General features: G+C 47.0%; 1 protein-coding gene across 11 annotated transcripts in view, besides 2 other annotated features; it reads left to right on the plus strand.

The window, feature by feature from the left end:
- Positions 7,862-8,641: a silencer, noted in NCBI's record as "silent region_2868". NCBI's record gives its function as "represses an Ori minimal core promoter by ATAC-STARR-seq in GM12878 lymphoblastoid cells {active_cell/tissue: GM12878}" and the evidence as "EXISTENCE:reporter gene assay evidence [ECO:0000049][PMID:35858748]".
- DENND10 (DENN domain containing 10) overlaps positions 8,073-17,218 on the plus strand; it is a 33,872-nt gene continuing 24,726 nt past the window's right edge. For 3 of the 11 annotated variants that reach the window (NR_130122.2, NM_207009.4, XM_017016264.3), the window contains exons 1-3: positions 8,073-8,157; positions 11,928-12,124; positions 15,809-15,888. Coding sequence is in view for 6 of the 11 variants with exons in the window: in NM_207009.4 (NP_996892.1) it covers positions 8,103-8,157; positions 11,928-12,124; positions 15,809-15,888 (332 nt within the window). In the remaining 5 variants the exon portion in view is untranslated. Of the gene's footprint in view, positions 8,158-8,724; positions 8,983-9,270; positions 9,456-11,907; positions 12,125-15,808; positions 15,889-17,218 lie in introns of those variants that run through there. The other 8 variants (XM_006717849.5, NM_001303113.2, NM_001303111.2 and 5 more) reach the window with 7 other exon arrangements.
- Positions 9,783-10,282: an enhancer, noted in NCBI's record as "H3K4me1 hESC enhancer chr10:120865335-120865834 (GRCh37/hg19 assembly coordinates)". NCBI's record gives its function as "activates a minimal SCP1, AML or CMV promoter by ChIP-STARR-seq in naive H9 embryonic stem cells {active_cell/tissue: H9 hESC(naive)}" and the evidence as "EXISTENCE:reporter gene assay evidence [ECO:0000049][PMID:30033119]".

Consider the following 17,218-nt stretch of genomic DNA (forward strand, 5'->3'; position numbering starts at 1 on the left):
CTACCTTGGCCTCCCAAAGTGTGTAGAAAGTATGAGATCCTTTTAGGACAGTCCCCGATGCACTGCTTTTTAGAAATCATCCTCACATATATGCATGTAAGATGGACAAAACAACCAATACATGAAACACAGCCTCTTTCTGCCCCTCAACTGCAAGAATTCTGATATTGACTAGTGGGCATTCCCCCCTCTTCCTTTATTCAACCTACACTTTATCAGGTAGCTGTGATAGTCAGTTGGGAGGACACCCAGAGAAGTAGGGTGAGAGATTCATGTAGGAAACGGATGAGGTGAGAGAAAGACGGATAAGAGATATATTTTGGCTGTGTGTGGTGGCTCGTGCCTATAATCCCAGCACTGTGGGAGGCTGAGGCAGGCAGATCACTTTAGCTCAAGAGTTCAAGACCAGCCTGGGCAACGTGGCTAAACTCTATCTCTACTAAAAATACAGAAATCAGCTAGGCATGATGGCGCACACCTGTAGTCCCAGCTACTCAGGAGGCTGAGGCAGGAGAATTGCTTGAGCGCGGGAGGTGGAGGTTGCAGTGAGCTGAGATGGCACCATGGCACTCCAGCCTGGGCGACAGAGCCAGACCCTGTCTTAAAAAAAGAAAGAAAAGAAAGAAAGAAAATAGAAAAAAAGAAGAAAAAGAGTAACTTTACAACAGAGAAATCTGGCAAACATAACCTCAGGCAGGTGATCCAGGTCAACACCTTGATGAACCCTTGATATGACTTAATGAGAATGGCACTTTACCTCTGTGATCTTCCTTACAAAAAATGTTTCATGCAGTCCAGTCATGAGAGAAACATCAGACAAATCCTTATGGAAGGATAGACTACAAAATACCTGACCAATCCTCAAAACTGCCAAAGTCAGGCTGAGCTTGATGGCTCACGCTTGTAATCCCAGCACTTTGGGAGGCCAAGGTGGGTGGATCACTTGAGGTCAGGAGTTCAAGACCATCCTGGCCAACATGGAGAAACTCTGTCTCTACTAAAATACAAAAATTAGCCGGGCATGGTGGCACATGCCTATAATCCCAGCTACTTGGGAGGCTGAGGCAGGAGAACCGCTGGAACCCGGGAGGTGGAGGTTGCAGTGAGCCAAGATCGAGCCACTGTTCTTAAGCCTGGGTGACAGAGAAAGACTCCATCTCAAAATAAATAAATAAATAAAAATAAATAAATAAGAATAAAAATACAAAAAGTTAGCCGGGTGTGGTGGCATGTGCCTGTGGTCCCAGCTACTGGGGAGGCTGAGGTAAGAGAGTCGTTTGAGCCTGGGAGGCAGAGGTTGCAGTGAGTCGAGATCGCGCGACTGCACTCTAGTCTGGGCGACAGGGCCAGACCTTGCCTCAGAGTAATAATAACAATAAAAATAATAGGCCAGGGCCGGGCACAGTGGCTCACGCCTGTAATCCCAGCACTTTGGGAGGCTGAGGCAGTGGATCACGAGGTCAGGAGTCCAAGACCAGCCTGGCCAAGATGGTGAAACCCCGTCTCTACTAAAAATACAAAAATGATCTGGGTGTGGTGGTGGGTGCCTGTAATCCCAGCTACTTGGGAGGCTGAGGCAGAGAATTGCTTGAACCTGGGAGGCAGAGGATGCAGTGAGCTGAGATCGCACCATTGCACTCCAGCCTGGGTGACAGAGCAAGATTCCGTCTCAAAAAATAATAATAATAAATAGTAATAATGTATCAATATTGGTTGACTGGTTGTGACAAATGTACCCTACAGATATATTAATAAGATGTTAATGATAGAGAAAATCAGGTGCAGTATATGGTAACTCTCAATACTATCTTTGCAACTTTTCTGAAAATCTAAAGCTATTTGAAATGTTTATTTTATTTTTTTATTTATTATTTATATATATATATTTTGGAGATAGAATCTCGCTCTGTCACCCAGGCTGGAGTGTAGTGGCACAATCTCGGCTTACTGCAACCTCCACTTCCCAGGTTCAAGCGATTCTACTGACTCAGCCTCTCAAGTAGCTGGGATTATAGGTGTACGCTGCCATGCCCGGCTAATTTTTTGTATTTTAGTAGAGACGGGGTTTCACCGTGTTGCCCAGGCTGGTCTTGAACTCCTGAGCTCAGGCAATCCACCCGCCTCAGCCTCCCAAAGTGCTGGGATTACAGGTGTGAGCCACCGTGCCTGGCCTAGGCCTATTATTATTATTATTTTTTTTGAGGTAGAGTTTCACTCTTGTTGCCGAGGCTGGAGTGCAATGGTGTGATCTCGGCTCATTGCAACTTCTGCCTCCTGGGTTCAAGGGATTCTCCTGTCTCAGCTTCCCAAGTCGCTGGGATTATAGGCACCTGCCACCACACCTAGCTAATTTTTGTATTTTTAGTAGAGATGGGGTTTTACCATGTTGGCCAGGCTGGTCTCGAACTCCTGACCTCAGGTGACCTGCCTGCCTTGGCCTCCCAAAGTGCTGGAATTACAGGCATGAGCCACCACCCCTAGCCTAAAAGTTTTATTTTTAAAAATCTGAGGGGAAAGGGATTTTAAGACATTTCACTGTAGGTAATAAATTCTGTCCTCTTTAATGTTTTTTGGAAAACGCAAAGAAAGATCAGAATTATTTTAATTACATTTTTCTTGCTGAACTATGTATTATTCTTTTTTTTAGAGACTGGTTTTTTTAGAGACTGGGTTTTGCTCTGTCACACAGGCTGGAGTGCAGTGGCTCAATTGTAGCTCATGGCAACCAGTGACTCTTGGACTCAAGTGATCCTCCCACCTCAGCCTCCTGAGTAGATAGGTTCAGGTGTGTATCTCCAAGCCCACCTAATTTTTAAATTTTTGTTCTAGAGACAGGGTCTTGCTATGTTGCCCAGGCTGCTCTTGAACTCCTGGGCTCGATGCTTTTGCCTCAGCTTCCCAAAATGCTGGGACTACAGGAATGAGCCTCGGTGCCCAGTCCATGAACTATTTCTTTTAATGCAACATAGTAGCCAGGTGTGATGGCTCACACCTGTAAGCCCAGCACTTTGGGAGGCTGAGGTGGGAGGATGTCTTAAGGCCAGGAGTTCAAAACCAGCCTGGGCAACATAGTGAGACTCCCATCTCTACAAAAATAAAATAAAAATAAAAATAAAAATTAGCCGGGCATCGTGGCTCATGCCTATAGTCCCAGCTACTCTGGAGGCTGATGCAGGAGGATTGCCTGAGCCTAGGAGTTCAAGGCCATACTGGGCAACATAAGGAGACCCCATCTCTACAAAAAGTTTTAAAAAATTGCTGGGCATGGTGGCACAAACCTATGGTCCCAGCTACTCGGGAGGCTGAGGTGGGAGAATTGCTTGAGCCTGGAAGGTCAAGTCTGCAGCAAGCTGTGATTGAACGACTGCACCCCAGCTTGGGTGACAGAGCAAGACCCTGTCTCAATAGATAAATGAATAAATAAATAGAAAGAAAGAAAGAAAAAAGAATAATGCAACACAGCTCGAAACCTGGGCTTCTTAGGGCCGGAGAGCTACCCAGCATCCTGAAACCATTGAGAACACAAGGAGGATGACTTCATCTTGGGAATGTTCTGGAAGCCTCACATATGCTAGAAGTCAGGACGGAGTGTCAGAGCAGTTGACTGAATCGCCTTCCAGTTCCCAAGTGAGACTGAATCCCTTAAATTAAAAGAGCTTGGCCAGGCGTGGTGGATCACACCTGTAATCCCAGCACTTTGGGAGGCCAAGGCGGATGGATCACTTGAGGCCAAGAGTTTCAGACTAGCCTGGCCAACATGGTGAAACCCCATCTCTACTAAAAATAAAAAAAAATTAACCAGGCTTGGTGGCACACACCTGTAGTCCCAGCTACTTGGGAGGCTGAGGCAGGAGAATTGCTTGAGCCTGGGAGGCGGAGGTTGCAGTTAGTGGAGATCACACCACTGCACTCCAGCCTGGGTGACAGAGCAAGACTCCGTCTCAGAAAAAAAAAAAGGCTGGGCACAGTAGCTCACACCTGTAATCCCAGCACTTTGGGAGGCTGAGGTGGGTGGATCACCTGAGGTCAGGAGTTCGAGACCAGTCTGACCAATATGGTGAAACCCTGTCTCTACTAAAAATACAAAAATTAGCCGGGTGTGGTGGCCTGCGCCTGTAGTCCCAGCTACTCAGGAGGCTGAGACAGGAGAATTGCTTGAACCCAGGAGGCGGAAGTTGCAGTGAGCTGAGATTGCATCACTGCATTGCGACAGAGCAAGACTCCATCAAAACAAACAAACAAACAAAACAACAACAACAAAAAAAAACTGCCACCCTAATGGCTCCCTTGGCTGACACATGCCCAATCTATGATGGAATCCAATTACAGAAACAAAGATGAAAAAGAACCATATTTGACTCATAGGAACCTGGGATTGGAACACCTGGAAGATGCTGGGGTCCCTTGTGCACTTGTCCATGTGGCCAGACAGTTTAGGCACTTTCCAAATCTGCTTCAGTGCCAGTAACTTACTCTTTTTCTGCAGAGCAAGGAGTGAGCAGGCTGTGCAAAAAAGAATTCACACGACAGGCCTGAGGGTGATATCCATAGAAAGTCTGCTGGCCAGTTTGGCCCTTGGCTGTGCCTGGAAACTTGGACTTCGGCAGTGTTCCCAGCATTTCTAGAACTGATCAAACTGATCAGAGTGACAGACTATGCCTGAACTATTTGTACATACAATGTGGTTCATGAGAGTCTGGAAATCTGGTATGAGCTAGGCAGAGGGTACCTATGTGACTGGCCCCCAGTAAAAACTGAGTTACTTGGTGACTGAGTTCTAACAAGCTTCCCTGGTTGATAAATATCACAAGTATTGCCACAACTTGTTGCTGGAGGAATTAGGTGTGTCCTGTGTGACTCTACCAGGAAATAACTCTTGGGAACTTGGCCCTGGTTTCCTCCAGACATCACCCCATGTGCCTTTTCCCTTTGCTGATTTTGCTTTGTATTCTCTGGCTGTAATAAATCATAGCCCTGAGCTGGGGATGGTGGTTCACATGTGTAACCCCAGCACTTTGGAGCCTGAGGTGGGCAGATCGCTTGAGGTCAGAAGCTTGAGATCAGCCTACACAATATGGTGAGATCACATCTCAAAAAAAAAAAAAAAAAAATAGCTAGGCATGGTGGTGCCTGCCTGTAGTCCCAGCTACTCAGGAGGATGAGGTGGGAGGATAGCTTGAGCCTGGATCAAAGCTGCAGTGAGCCGTGATCGTGCCACTGCACTCCAGCCTGGGTGACAGAGTGAGACCCTGTCTCAAAAAAATAAAAATGTATATCATAGCCATGAGTATAGCTATATGCTGAATCCTGAGAATCCTTCCAACAAATCATTGAATTTGGGGGGTGGTCTTGGGGACCCTTTATATTCTTACCTATAAAATTAGGCTATTCTTATCAATAAAACTAGCATAAAGATTTTCCCTGATTCAAATCTTTATTGGGAGAGTCACGGAGGAAAGTATGGTTAGCTCCATTTGATCACTGAGAAAACATGCACAGAAAAGATAGGAAACATGTGTGAGGTTTCGCAGCTAAGATGGGCAAGGGGGTTGGAACTCAGGTTGTCTGTTTCCACACCCCAGCTCCATCTGTCTGTGACAGCGCAGAGGTCAGTCTTACTTTTAAAGATTGGGGATGCGTCGCCTCTGCTCTCTCCACCCTCTATTCCTTTTCCCTTCACTCTGGTGTACCTGTCTGGCAGGTAAGACAGCACTTGTGGAGAAACAGGAGGGAAGGAGGTGTCAATTCCAGGTATCATCCCACTCACTGGAGCCTGGACACACCCCTCATTATCTTTCCCCTCCCTGCACCCACTATCATCTCCCTCTCCTTTGTTTAATTATCTGTTCATCATCGTCTTCATCCTCATTTCTTTTCTTTTTTTTTCTGAGATGGAGTCTCACTCTGTCGCCCAGGCTGGAATGCAGTGGCGCGATCTTGGCTCACTGCAACCGTCCTCTCTTGGGTTCAAGCCAGTCTGCCTCAGCTTCCTGAGTAGCTGGGATTACAGGCACCTGCCACCATGCCTAGCTAATTTTTGTGATTTTTTGTTTGTTTGTTTTTGAGATGGAGTCTCGCTCTGTCGCCCAGGCTGGAGTGCAGTGGCGTGATCTCGGCTCACTGCAAGCTCCGCCTCCCGGGTTCACGCCATTCTCCTGCCTCAGCCTCACAAGTAGCTGGGACTACAGGCACCTGCCACCACGCCCGGCTAATTTTTTGTATTTTTAGTAGAGACAGGGTTTCACCGTTTTAGCCGGGTTGGTCTCAATCTCCTGACCTCGTGATCCACCCACCTCAGCCTCCCAAAGTGCTAGGATTACAGGCGTGAGCCACCGTGCCCCACCTAGTGCAAGTTTCTAGTTGGCTTCCAAACTGATTCCACATCTGTGTCCCACTCCTCAGCCTCTAAACACCTGCTTCTTTTCTGTGAAAACTAGACACATTAACAGTTATACTACAACAGGAAGCCCAGAGAATAGAAGGGCACGTAGTTCAGGGTGCTGCCTTCCAGGGGTTCAGTTTAGTGAGAGAAACAGGAATGCCATATACACACCTAAATATACTCCAATGTATAAATTGCAGCCTGGGCAACATAGCGAGAAACTGTCTCCAAAAAAAAAAGAAAGAAAAAAGAAAAAAACAGGCGCAGTGGCTCACGCCTGTAATCCCAGCTACGCAGGAGGCTGAGGCAGGAGAATCCCTTAAAACCGAGAGGCGGAGGTTGCAGTGAGCCGAGATCGCGCTATTGCACTCCAGGCCGGGCAACTGAACAAGACTCCATCTCAAAAAAAAAAAAAAAAAAAGAAAAAAGAAAAAAAGATGAGGGTGGGATTGTATTCCTGCAGACACCAAGGACCCTCCCTAATTAGCTCTGTGTGACTTGGGGTTGGGGCAGACAGTAGATCCAGAGGAGGAATCTTGGAGCCAAATCTTCCAATGTCTGAGTCGTTACTATCATTCAGATCTCAGTTCAAATATCCCTTTCTCAGAGAAGCCTTTCTTGACACCCATTTTAGAGCAGCACACCTCCACTCTCTAACACACTGCCTCCAGGGCACATATCGTTGCCTCCAGGGCACATATCATTCTGAGCTTTTTTACTATTATCTATCTATCTGTCATCTATTTATCTATTTATTTATTTTTGAGACAGGGTCTCACTCTGTCACCCAGGCTGGAGTGAGTGGCAGGATCACAGCTCACTGCAGCCTCAAAATCCTGGGCTCAAATGATTTTCCTGCCTCAGCCTGAGAGTAGCTGGGACTACAGGTGCATGCCACTATGCCTGGCTAATTTTTAAATTTTTTTTGTAGAGATGGGTCTCACTATGTTGCCAAGGCTGATCTCGAACTCCTGACCTCAAGTGATGCTCCTGCCTTGGCCTCCCATCGTGTTGGGATCAGAGGCGTGAGCCACCTCACCTGGCCTGGATTATTTATTCTACTCGCCAATTGTCTGTCTTCCCCAGTGGACTGCTCTGTCTTGTTCAGCCCTATAAGGTATCCCCAGTGCCTTATTAGGCCCTCAATTTTTGTTTTGTTTTGTTTTGGGGGTGGCTGGATGAAGGAATGGATGGAGACCCTTCCTCCATCCTCAGGACGCCTCTTTTTAGGAACAAGGTGACCTGTTCTTTTGAGCTTGACCAGAGGGCAGAGGTAGAACAAGGAAAGCCTACGACGGGAAGAAAGATTGGAGTGGATTGAGAAGAAGAAGGATGAACAGCTGGATTAGAGAAATTGAGGCAGGCTGCGGAGACTCAAGGAGGTTTCCAAGGGCGAAGGGCCACGGGCAGAAGACGAGTGGAGCTGCACTGAGCAGGTCCTGGCAGGGAGGACTGGGGCTGGAATAGGTGGGCCTGCGGGTGGGGCGGGGCCGACGGGGGGGGTTGATGGTCCTGTGATGGGGCGGGGCGGGAGGGAGGCGGGTCCTACAGCGGGAGGCGGGGCCTGTGATGGTCCGGGGAGGGAGGCGGGGCTTATGATGGGCCGGGGAGGGAGGCGGGGCCTGTGATGGGGGCGGGCCCTACGGCGGGCGGGGCGGGGTTCGGGTGCGAGGCCGGTCCTGCAGGCGGCAGCCAGAGCTGCGCGCCGCGGCGGCGGAAGATGGCTGCGGCCGAGGTGGCGGACACTCAGCTGATGCTTGGAGTCGGGCTGATCGGTGAGGACGTAGGCGCCCTGCCTGGAAGCCCGCACCCTGGTTCTGCCTCTGCTCCACCTCGGCCCGGGGCAGCCCGGGCTCCCGCGGCCCCCGGCGCCGACCGCATGAGGAGGGCGCGGCCCCCTCCCTGTTGGGCCTGGACTGGGGACTGCGGAGCCCGGCCTCCTTGGTGCAGGGGACCCGGCCCGCCGCCCTCGCCCGCCCGCCCGCGGCCGCCTGTGGGGCCTGCCCGGCCCGAGGGAGCCCGGGGACCTCCAAGATTCCGGGGTGGAGCTCCCCCTGCACGCCCCGGGTTGCCCGGCGGAGCCGGGACGTCGAGCGCTCCCAGGCTGGGCAGCTGCGAGGGGCGCTGCGCGGGCGGGGCCGGGCCGGGCGGGAGCAGCCGGCTGGCGGCGCGGCGCGGCGCGGCGGGGAGGAGGCAGGGTCCGGTTCCCCCGAGCCGGGGGCGGGCGGCTGCCTCGGAGCCACGGGTGACTGCCCGCCCGGGCGGCCCCCATCGTGGGACCGGGCAGCTGGAGACTGCTGGGCCGGGTGCTGCGCGTTGTACACACATTGTCTCCTTTTAGCTCTCACCAAGGACCGAGGGGCCGTGGGAAACGTCTGACGCCCACTTCACGGAGGAGCAAATGGAGGCCCAGGCCGTCATTGTGCACGGACACACCATAGGCCGTACAGAGCCGGGAGTGGGACCCTCGCAGTGTATCCCAGAGCCCCCAACCCCCACCAGTGGAGAGCTCCTGCATCATGTGATCGAGCTTGTGCATAAATAAAGCAGGAGTTTCTACACAATCCTGTGTGGTGGAATCTCGGTTAGCTCTGAGGAATGTAATTATCTTCCATAATTAAAAAATATCACACGGGGATCTTTGGGCAGCCTCGTGCAGTATTTAGGGGATGGAACCCGTTGGTTCCCTTCGAAAAAGTTTTATTTTCCCGAGATTTTTGCACACCCCTAAACTCTTTCTATTCCCCAAGTGCGCAATAACATTGCTTAGGCTTTAGCAAAACTGAAGAAATATGCTGATTATTTTTCAGTGCCTCAAAGCAGTGCGTTTATGTGGGAATCGCTTACTGTTTTTATTTCTTTGTCTTTCTTCTTTTTTTTTTTTTTAGACGGGGTCTCCCTCTTATCCAGGCTGGAGTGCAGTAGCGCAATCATCGCTCTCTGCAGCCTCCACCTCCCAGGCCCAAACCATCCTCCCGCCTCGGCCTCCGAGTAGCTGGGACCTCAGGCGTGCACCACCACCCGATTAATTTTTGTATTTTTTGTGGAGATGGGATACCGACATGTTGTCCAGGTGGATTACTGTATTTATTTCTAATGTGATTTTCAAACTGCTTCAAAACAAAACCTAAGTAACTTAGTTTCTCCAGAAGGTACTTTTGAACTAAGGCTAAGTTAAACTGTCTTTATCTACTAATAGCAAATAAAAAGATGACATATGATCATATTTTGAACTCAGCAGTTTTTTAATTATTCACACTAACGTGCATTTAAAAGGGGTTTGCAGCCAGCCTGGGCAATGTGGTAAAACCCTCGTGTCTCTACAAAAAATACAAAAATTAGCCGGGTGTGGTGTGCCTGTAGGTGGGAGGATTGCTTGGTCCCAGGAGGCAGAGGTTGCAGTGAACTGAGATCATGCCACTGTACTCCAGCATGGGTGACAGAGTGAGACCCCCCCCAACCCCGTCTCAAAAAAAGAAATTGAAAAAAGAGGCCAGGCGTGGTGGCTCATGCCTGTAATCCTAGCACTTTGGGAGGCTGAGGCAGGTGGATCAATTGAGGCTGGGAGTTGATCAGCCTGGCCAATATAGCGAGACCCTGTCTTCACTAAAAAGGCAAAAAATTAACTGGGCGTGGTGGTGCACACCTGTAATCTCAGCTACTTAGGAGGCTGAGGCAGGAGAATCACTTGAACCCGGGAGGTGGAAGTTGCAGTGAGCTGAGATCAGAGGTGGAGGTTGCAGTGAGCTGAGATTGCGCCACCGCACTGCAGCCCAAGTGACAGAGTTAGACCCTGTCTCAGAGAGAGAAAAAAAAACAGAATGTGAGTGTCTTTTTTAGTATAATGATTTCTTTTCCTTTCGGCAGATACCCAGTAATGGGATTACTGGGTGGAATGGTAATTCTGTTTTCAATAACAATTTTTTATTTGTAGTCTTTAGAGACAGGGTCTCTCTCTGTTGACTAGGCTGGAATGCAGTGGTGCATAGCTCACGACAACCTCTGAATCTTGGGCTAACTTGATCCTCCCACCTTAGCTTCCTGAGTAGCTGGGACCATAGGCACACACCACCATGTCCAGCTAATTAAAATTTTTTTTTTGTAGAGATGCGGTCTCACTATGTGGCCCAGGTTGGTCTGGAACTTCTGGCCTCAGGCGATCCTCCTGGGTTCCCAAAGTGTTAGGATTATAGGCATGAGCCATTATGCTTGGCCTAAACAATTTTAAATACAAAATTCACACAGTTGGTATGCAACATGGTTTGAAATATTTCACTATTTTCTTCATCTCTGGTTTTGTTTTCGACAAACCTTTTCTATGTATTTATTAAAAATTATTCGGCTGGGCACGGTGGCTCACGCCTATAATCCCAGCACTTTGGGGGGCCGAGGCAGGCAGATCATCTGAGGTGGGGAGTTCGAGACCAGCCTGACCAATGTGGAGAAACCAAAACCCCATCTTTACTAAAAATACAAAATTAGCCAGGAGTGGTGGTGCATGCCTGTAACCCCAGCCACTCGGGAGGCTGAAGCAGGAGAATAGCTTGAATCTGGGAGATGGAGGTTGTGGTGAGCTGAGATCACTGCATTGCACTCCAGCCTGGGCAATAAGAGCAAAACTCCATTTAAAGAATTATTCCGCCCAGCACTTTGGGAGGCCGAGGCGGGCAGATCACCTGAGGTCAGGAGTTCAAGACCAGCCTGGCTAACATGGCGAAACCCTGTCTCTACTAAAACTACAAAAATTAGCTGGGCATGGTGGTGGGCACCTGTAATCCCAGCTACTTGGGAGGCCAAGGCAGAAGAATCGTTTGAACCTGGGAGCCAAGATAGCACCAGTACACTCTAGCCTGGGTGACGGTGAGACTCCGCCTCAAAAAAAAAAAAAAGAATTATTCCAACTAGTTAAAAACTTAATGTAATTTTAGTTGATAAGCATTTGTGTGGGAGGAGATAGGGAGAAACTCTAACATCTTTCTTTGTCTTTTTTTTTTTTTTTGAGACCAAGTTTTGCTCTGTTGCCCAGGCTAGAGTGCAGTGGCGTGATCTTGGCTGACTGCAACCTCTGCCTCCCGGGTTCAAGCAATTCTCTTGCCTTAGCCTCCTGAGTAGCTGGGATTACAGGCATGCCCCACCACACCCGGATAATTTTTGTATTATTAGTAGAGATGGGGTTTCTCCAGGTTGGTCAGGCTGGTCTCGAAGTCCCGACCTCAGGTAATCCACTCGCCTTGGCCTCCCAAAGTGATGGGATTACAAGCATGAGCCATCGTGCCCGGCCAAAACTCTACCATATCTCTAAGGCTGAATTTTCATTCATGGTTTGTTATAAAAACTTTTTACTCAGGTGGCCTGTAATTCAGGATCATGACAGCTAGATAATTTGAGCAGTAGAGATAGGTGGGAATTTGGGGTGTCAGGTATTGTGAGTTGCTTTGTAAGATGGGATGTTAAAACTGATTCCACTAAGTGTTTCTGAGTAACCAATCAATTCACTTCCTTGCTGCTGTTTGACATTCTCACAGTGACCATCTTTCCACCGTAGAAAAGGACACAAATGGAGAAGTTCTGTGGGTGTGGTGTTATCCTTCCACGACAGCCACATTAAGGAACCTGCTGCTGAGAAAATGCTGCCTTACAGATGAAAACAAACTTCTCCATCCCTTTGTCTTTGGTCAGTACAGAAGAACATGGTTTTATATCACAACAATTGAAGTTCCAGATTCTTCCATTTTGAAAAAGGTATGATTGCGTGAAGGTAAAAAAAAAACCCCAAAATAGGCTGGGCGCGGTGGCTCATGCCTGTAATCCCAGCACTTTGGGAGGCTGAGGTCGGCAGATCACAAGGTCAAGAGATTCAGACCATCCTGGCCAGCAAGGTGAAACCCCATCTCTACTAAAAACACAAAAATTAGCTGGGCGTGGTGGCGCACGCCTGTAGTCCCAGCTACTCAGGAGGCTGAGGCAGGAGAATCGCTTGAACCTGGGAGGCGGAGGTTGCGGTGAGCCAAGATTGTGCCACTGCACTCCAGCCTGGCGACAGAGCGAGACTCCGTCTCAAAAAAAAAAAAAAAAAGAAAAGAAAATATTAAATATTATTTTCATTGGGAATACTCTGTTTCACACTTCACTCTCATTCATTCTATAAATATTTATTGTTGTCTATTATATGACAGACCCTGTAGTTGATACAGTGGTGAGCAGTACAGCAATATGTGGTCTTTTCCCCTTTTTTTTTGTTTTTGTTTTTTTGAGATGGAGTTTTTCTGTTGGTCAGGCTGGAGTGCAATGGCGCAATCTCGGCTCACTGCAACCTCCGCCTCCCGGGTTCAAGCGATTCACCTGCTTCAGCCTCCCGAGTAGCTGGGATTGCAGGCACCCACCATCACGCCTGGCTAATTTTTTGTATTTTTAGTAGAGACAGGTTTTACCATGTTTGCCAGGCTGGTCGTGAATTCCTGACCTCAGGTGATGCACCCGGCCAGGATAAATTAAGAATTTAGAAAGGCAGGCCGAGCGTGTTGGCTCACGCCAGTAATCCCAGCATTTTGGGAGGCTGAGGCAGGCGCATCACCTGAGGTTGTGAGTTCAAGACCAGCCTGACCAACATGGAGAAACCGCATCTCTACTAAAAATACAAAAAATTAGCCGGGCGTGGTGGCGCATGCCTGTAATCCCAGCTACTCGGGAGGCTGCGGCAGGAGAATCTCTTGAACCCGGGAGGCAGAGGTTGTGGTGAGCTGTGATTGCGCCATTGCACTCTAGCCTAGGCAACAAGAGCGAAACTCCGTCTCAAAAAAAAAAAAAAAAGAATTTAGAAAGGATATTTAAGGCAGCTTGTGTATTAAGTAGACTTTTCTTGGTGTGTTGTTTGATATGAACAGTATCAGTGTGACATGTGGAAGACTAGGATGTAATCGTGGACTTTCCTAATCCCAAGCAACCAGCAGGTTTTTTCAAAGAATAGAATATTGGAACAATACTTTATCTGAGCCTCTGGCATGTACCCAAACAGAGATTTTTTCCCGTTTTAGGGCTAATTTATAGCCAATAGTGCGACTATGTGAAGCATGACTAGAATACCAGCTTAAATTTTAAAAATTACATTTAAAATAGCAGGAAGGTAACAATTTAGAAACTGTAGAAGGTTTAAGACAAAACAGATTCATAGTTACAAAATATAAATTTGCAAGAAGATACTTTTTTTTTTTTTTTACGGGAGTTTTGCTCTTGTTGCCCGGGCTGGATTGCAGTAGCATGATCTCGGCTCACTGCAACCTCCATCTCCCAGATTCAAGCGATTCTCCTGCCTCAGCGTCCTGAGTAGCTGGGATTACAGGCATTCGCCACCACGTCCAGCTAATTTTCTTTTTTTTTTTTTAACTTCAATTTTTAATTTTTATTTTTTGAGTCAGAGTCTCATTTTGTCACCCAGGCTGGAGTGCAATGGTGCAATCATGTCTTACTGCAGCCTTAATCTCCTGGGCCCAAGTGATCCTCCCTCCTCAGCTCCCTGAGTAGCTGGGAGCACATGTGTGCACTACCATGCCCAGCTAGTTTTTAAATTTTTTGTAGAGATGAGGTCTCACTCTGTTGCCCAGGCTGGTCTTGAACTCCTGAGTTCAAGCGATCCTCCTGTCTTTTCTCCTAAAGTTCTGGGATTAACAGGCGCGAGCCACCGCACCTGGCCAAAAAGATAGGTTTCAATATGTAATGAAATCTTTGGTTTATTGCTCAATAAGTTCTTTTTGTTTTTGTTTTTTTTTTGAGATGGAGTCTTGCTCTGTCACCCAGGTTGGAGTGCAGTGGTGTGATCTCGGCTCACTGCAACCTCTGCCTCCCAGGATCAAGCGATTCTTGTGCCTCAGCCTCCCAAGTAGCTGGGACTACAGGCATGCACCACCACCTACTCTTCATTTTAAATGTATCTCTTCAAAGTTTTGTATTTATGAAATTCTGAATTTTGTCTCATTAGTGGAAATATTAGGTATATGTTTATCAGAAATTTATAATATAGAGGCATATAAGTAAATGAAGGTTTTTTTCTTTTTTTGAGACAAAGTCTCACTCTGTCGCCCAGCCTGGAGTGCAGGGACAAAATCTCGGCTCACTGCAACCTCTGCCTCCTGGGTTCAAGCAATTCCCTGCCTCAGCCTCCCGAGTAGCTGGGATTATAGGCACCTGCCACCATTCCTGGCTAATTTTTGTAGTTTTAGTTGAGACAGGGTTTCACCATCTTGGCCAGGCTGGTCTTGAACTCCTGACCTTGTGATCCACCTGCCTCGGCCTCCCAAAGTGCTGGGATTACAGATGTGAGCCATCATGCCCAGCCAAAACTTCTTATAATAGTACTTTTTAGCTTATGGCACCCTGCAGAGAGTTAGTTCAGGAGCTGTATGGTTGTTACTGAGATGTATTTTGTTGTTTTTCATCCTTTTATAACGAAGAACAATTGCTATTCGACAGAGCTGTAGTGTGACTATGATTAAGAATAATCTATTAATTTCAAAATAGTTAGAATAATTTGAATGTTTTCAGCATAAAGAAAAGATAAATAGTCTGGGTGCGGTGGCTGATGCCTGTAATCCCAGCACTTTGGGAGCTGAGGTGGGTGGATCATTTGAGGCCAGGAGTTCGAGACCAGCCTGGCCAACAGAGTGAAACACTGTCTCTACTGAAAATACAAAAAATTAGCTGGGCATGGTGGTGTGCCTATAATCCCAGCTACTTGGGAGCTTGGGAGGCTGAGGCATGAGAATTGCTTGAACCCGGGAGGCAGAGGTTACAGTGAGCTGAGATTACACCACTGCACTCCAGCCTGGGCGACAGAGCAAATGTCCCAAAAAAAAAAAAAAAAAAAACTGGAAAAATATATACATCTATTATGTATCAATAAAAATAAGTAAAATAAGGGTTTGGTGGTAGTGCCTGTAATCCCAGCTACTTAAGAGGCTGAGGCTGGAGGATCTCTTGAGCCCAGGAGTTCAAGTCCAGCCTAGGCAACATAGTGAGACCCCAACTCAAAAAAAAAAATAGGTAAAATAAAATAGTAAAAAAGTGTGGAGGAGAAAAGATAAGCAGTTGCTAAATTGGTGAGTCTGATTTAGCACTTCTTTCTTGTACTTTGATGAGATTAGGGGACATTAAGTAGAAATGTACTTTTTTTATATTTGAGTGAAGTATTTTTGATTTCTGAAAATTTTTTCTCTAAATATTGCATTCTTATGTAGGAAATTCAATATATATGTATATGTAATACATATGCACATGCAGAAGTATAAAGAAGCAAGTGAGGACTTGTTAAATTTTGGTCTTTTTCTTTTAATACTGTTGTGTCTTATACAAAAGGTTTGTTAGAATATAGTAATAAAAATTCTGCTAAAGTGTATTTAAAAAGTGTATTTTTTTGTTGTTTCTTTTGAACAGGTGACTCATTTTTCTATTGTCCTGACCGCCAAAGATTTTAACCCAGAGAAGTATGCTGCCTTCACTAGGATATTGTGTAGGTCTGTATAAAAATTGTATTAAATGCTAATATACAAAATGAAGACCTTAGTATAGTTACATAGCAGATTTCTACACTGAGAAAGCAAAGTTCAGCCTTGTGTCTCCCCAGCATAATCTTTAGTAGCCCTTCACAGACTGTAAAGACGGCCTTTCTCTTTTGCTCTGTTGATACTTCTCTTATTTGGGTAAATGATCTAGGGGAAGAGAAGGAGCAGTTTTATAGCTATTGTAGCTCCTGGGTGTTTTGAATCACTTCCTACTTTTGATCTGTTACTTCTGTTCACTTCCAGTCTAGAATTCCCTTAGTAGGTTGGATAAGTTAAGGGCCTTATGACATGGTAAACTGGTTCGTATGTGTCAAGGTCTGTGTGTACAGTCATTTTGGGGAAAGAATTATGCCGAAGCACAATAACACATTTCTTAGCTGGAATGCTGAGAAGCTAGGGAATTCTGATTAACTGGTTAGTCACGATTCAGCTAGACTCTTTTAGTTTCATCTCCATTGTTGAAAAATTTATCTAAAATATACCAGTCTATTTTCTTTTCTTTTTCTTTTTCTTTTTCTTTTTTTTTTTTTTTTTGAGACAGGGTCTCACTCTGTTGCTCAGACTGGAGTGCAGCGGCTTCATCATGGCTCACTGCAGTCTTGACCTCCCAGGACTCAGGTGATCCTCCCACCTCAGCCTCCCATGTAGCAAGGACTGCAGGTGCGCACTTCCATGCCTAGCCAATTTTTTATATTTTTTGTAGAGACAGGGTTTCACCATGTTGCCCAGGCTGGTTTCAAACTCCTGAGCTCAAGTGATCTGCTCATGTTGGCCTCCCAAAGTGCTGGGATTATAGGCGTGATGAAACTCTTTTTTTATGTGTTAAAGATATTAGCTCTTTCTTAATGATGAAGGCTTTTGCAGAGTTTTATTTATTATGTTTTTTTTTTTGAGACAGAGTCTCCCTTTGTTGCCCAAGCTGGAGTGCAGTGGGGCGATCTTGGCTCACTGCAACCTCTGCCTCCTGGGTTCAAGCGATTCTCTTGCCTCAGCCTCCCGAGTAACTGAGATTACAGGTGGGTGCCACCACGCCCAGCTAATTTTTTGTATTTTTAGTAGAGAGGGGGTTTTGTCATGTTGGCCAGGCTGGTCTTGAACTCCTGACCTCAAGTGATCCGCCCGCCTTGGCCTCCCAAAGTGCTGGGATTATAGGCGTGAGCCACCGCACCCTGCCTTGCAGGGTTTTAGTCGTGATTTTTTTTTTTTTTTTCTGGTTGTTGTCTTTTTTTTAGCGACACGGTCTTGCTCTTTTGCCTAGCTTGGAGTGCAGTGGCATGATCAT

Source organism: Homo sapiens, chromosome 10 (assembly GCF_000001405.40).
Source record: "Homo sapiens chromosome 10, GRCh38.p14 Primary Assembly".
Taxonomy (NCBI): domain Eukaryota; kingdom Metazoa; phylum Chordata; class Mammalia; order Primates; family Hominidae; genus Homo; species Homo sapiens.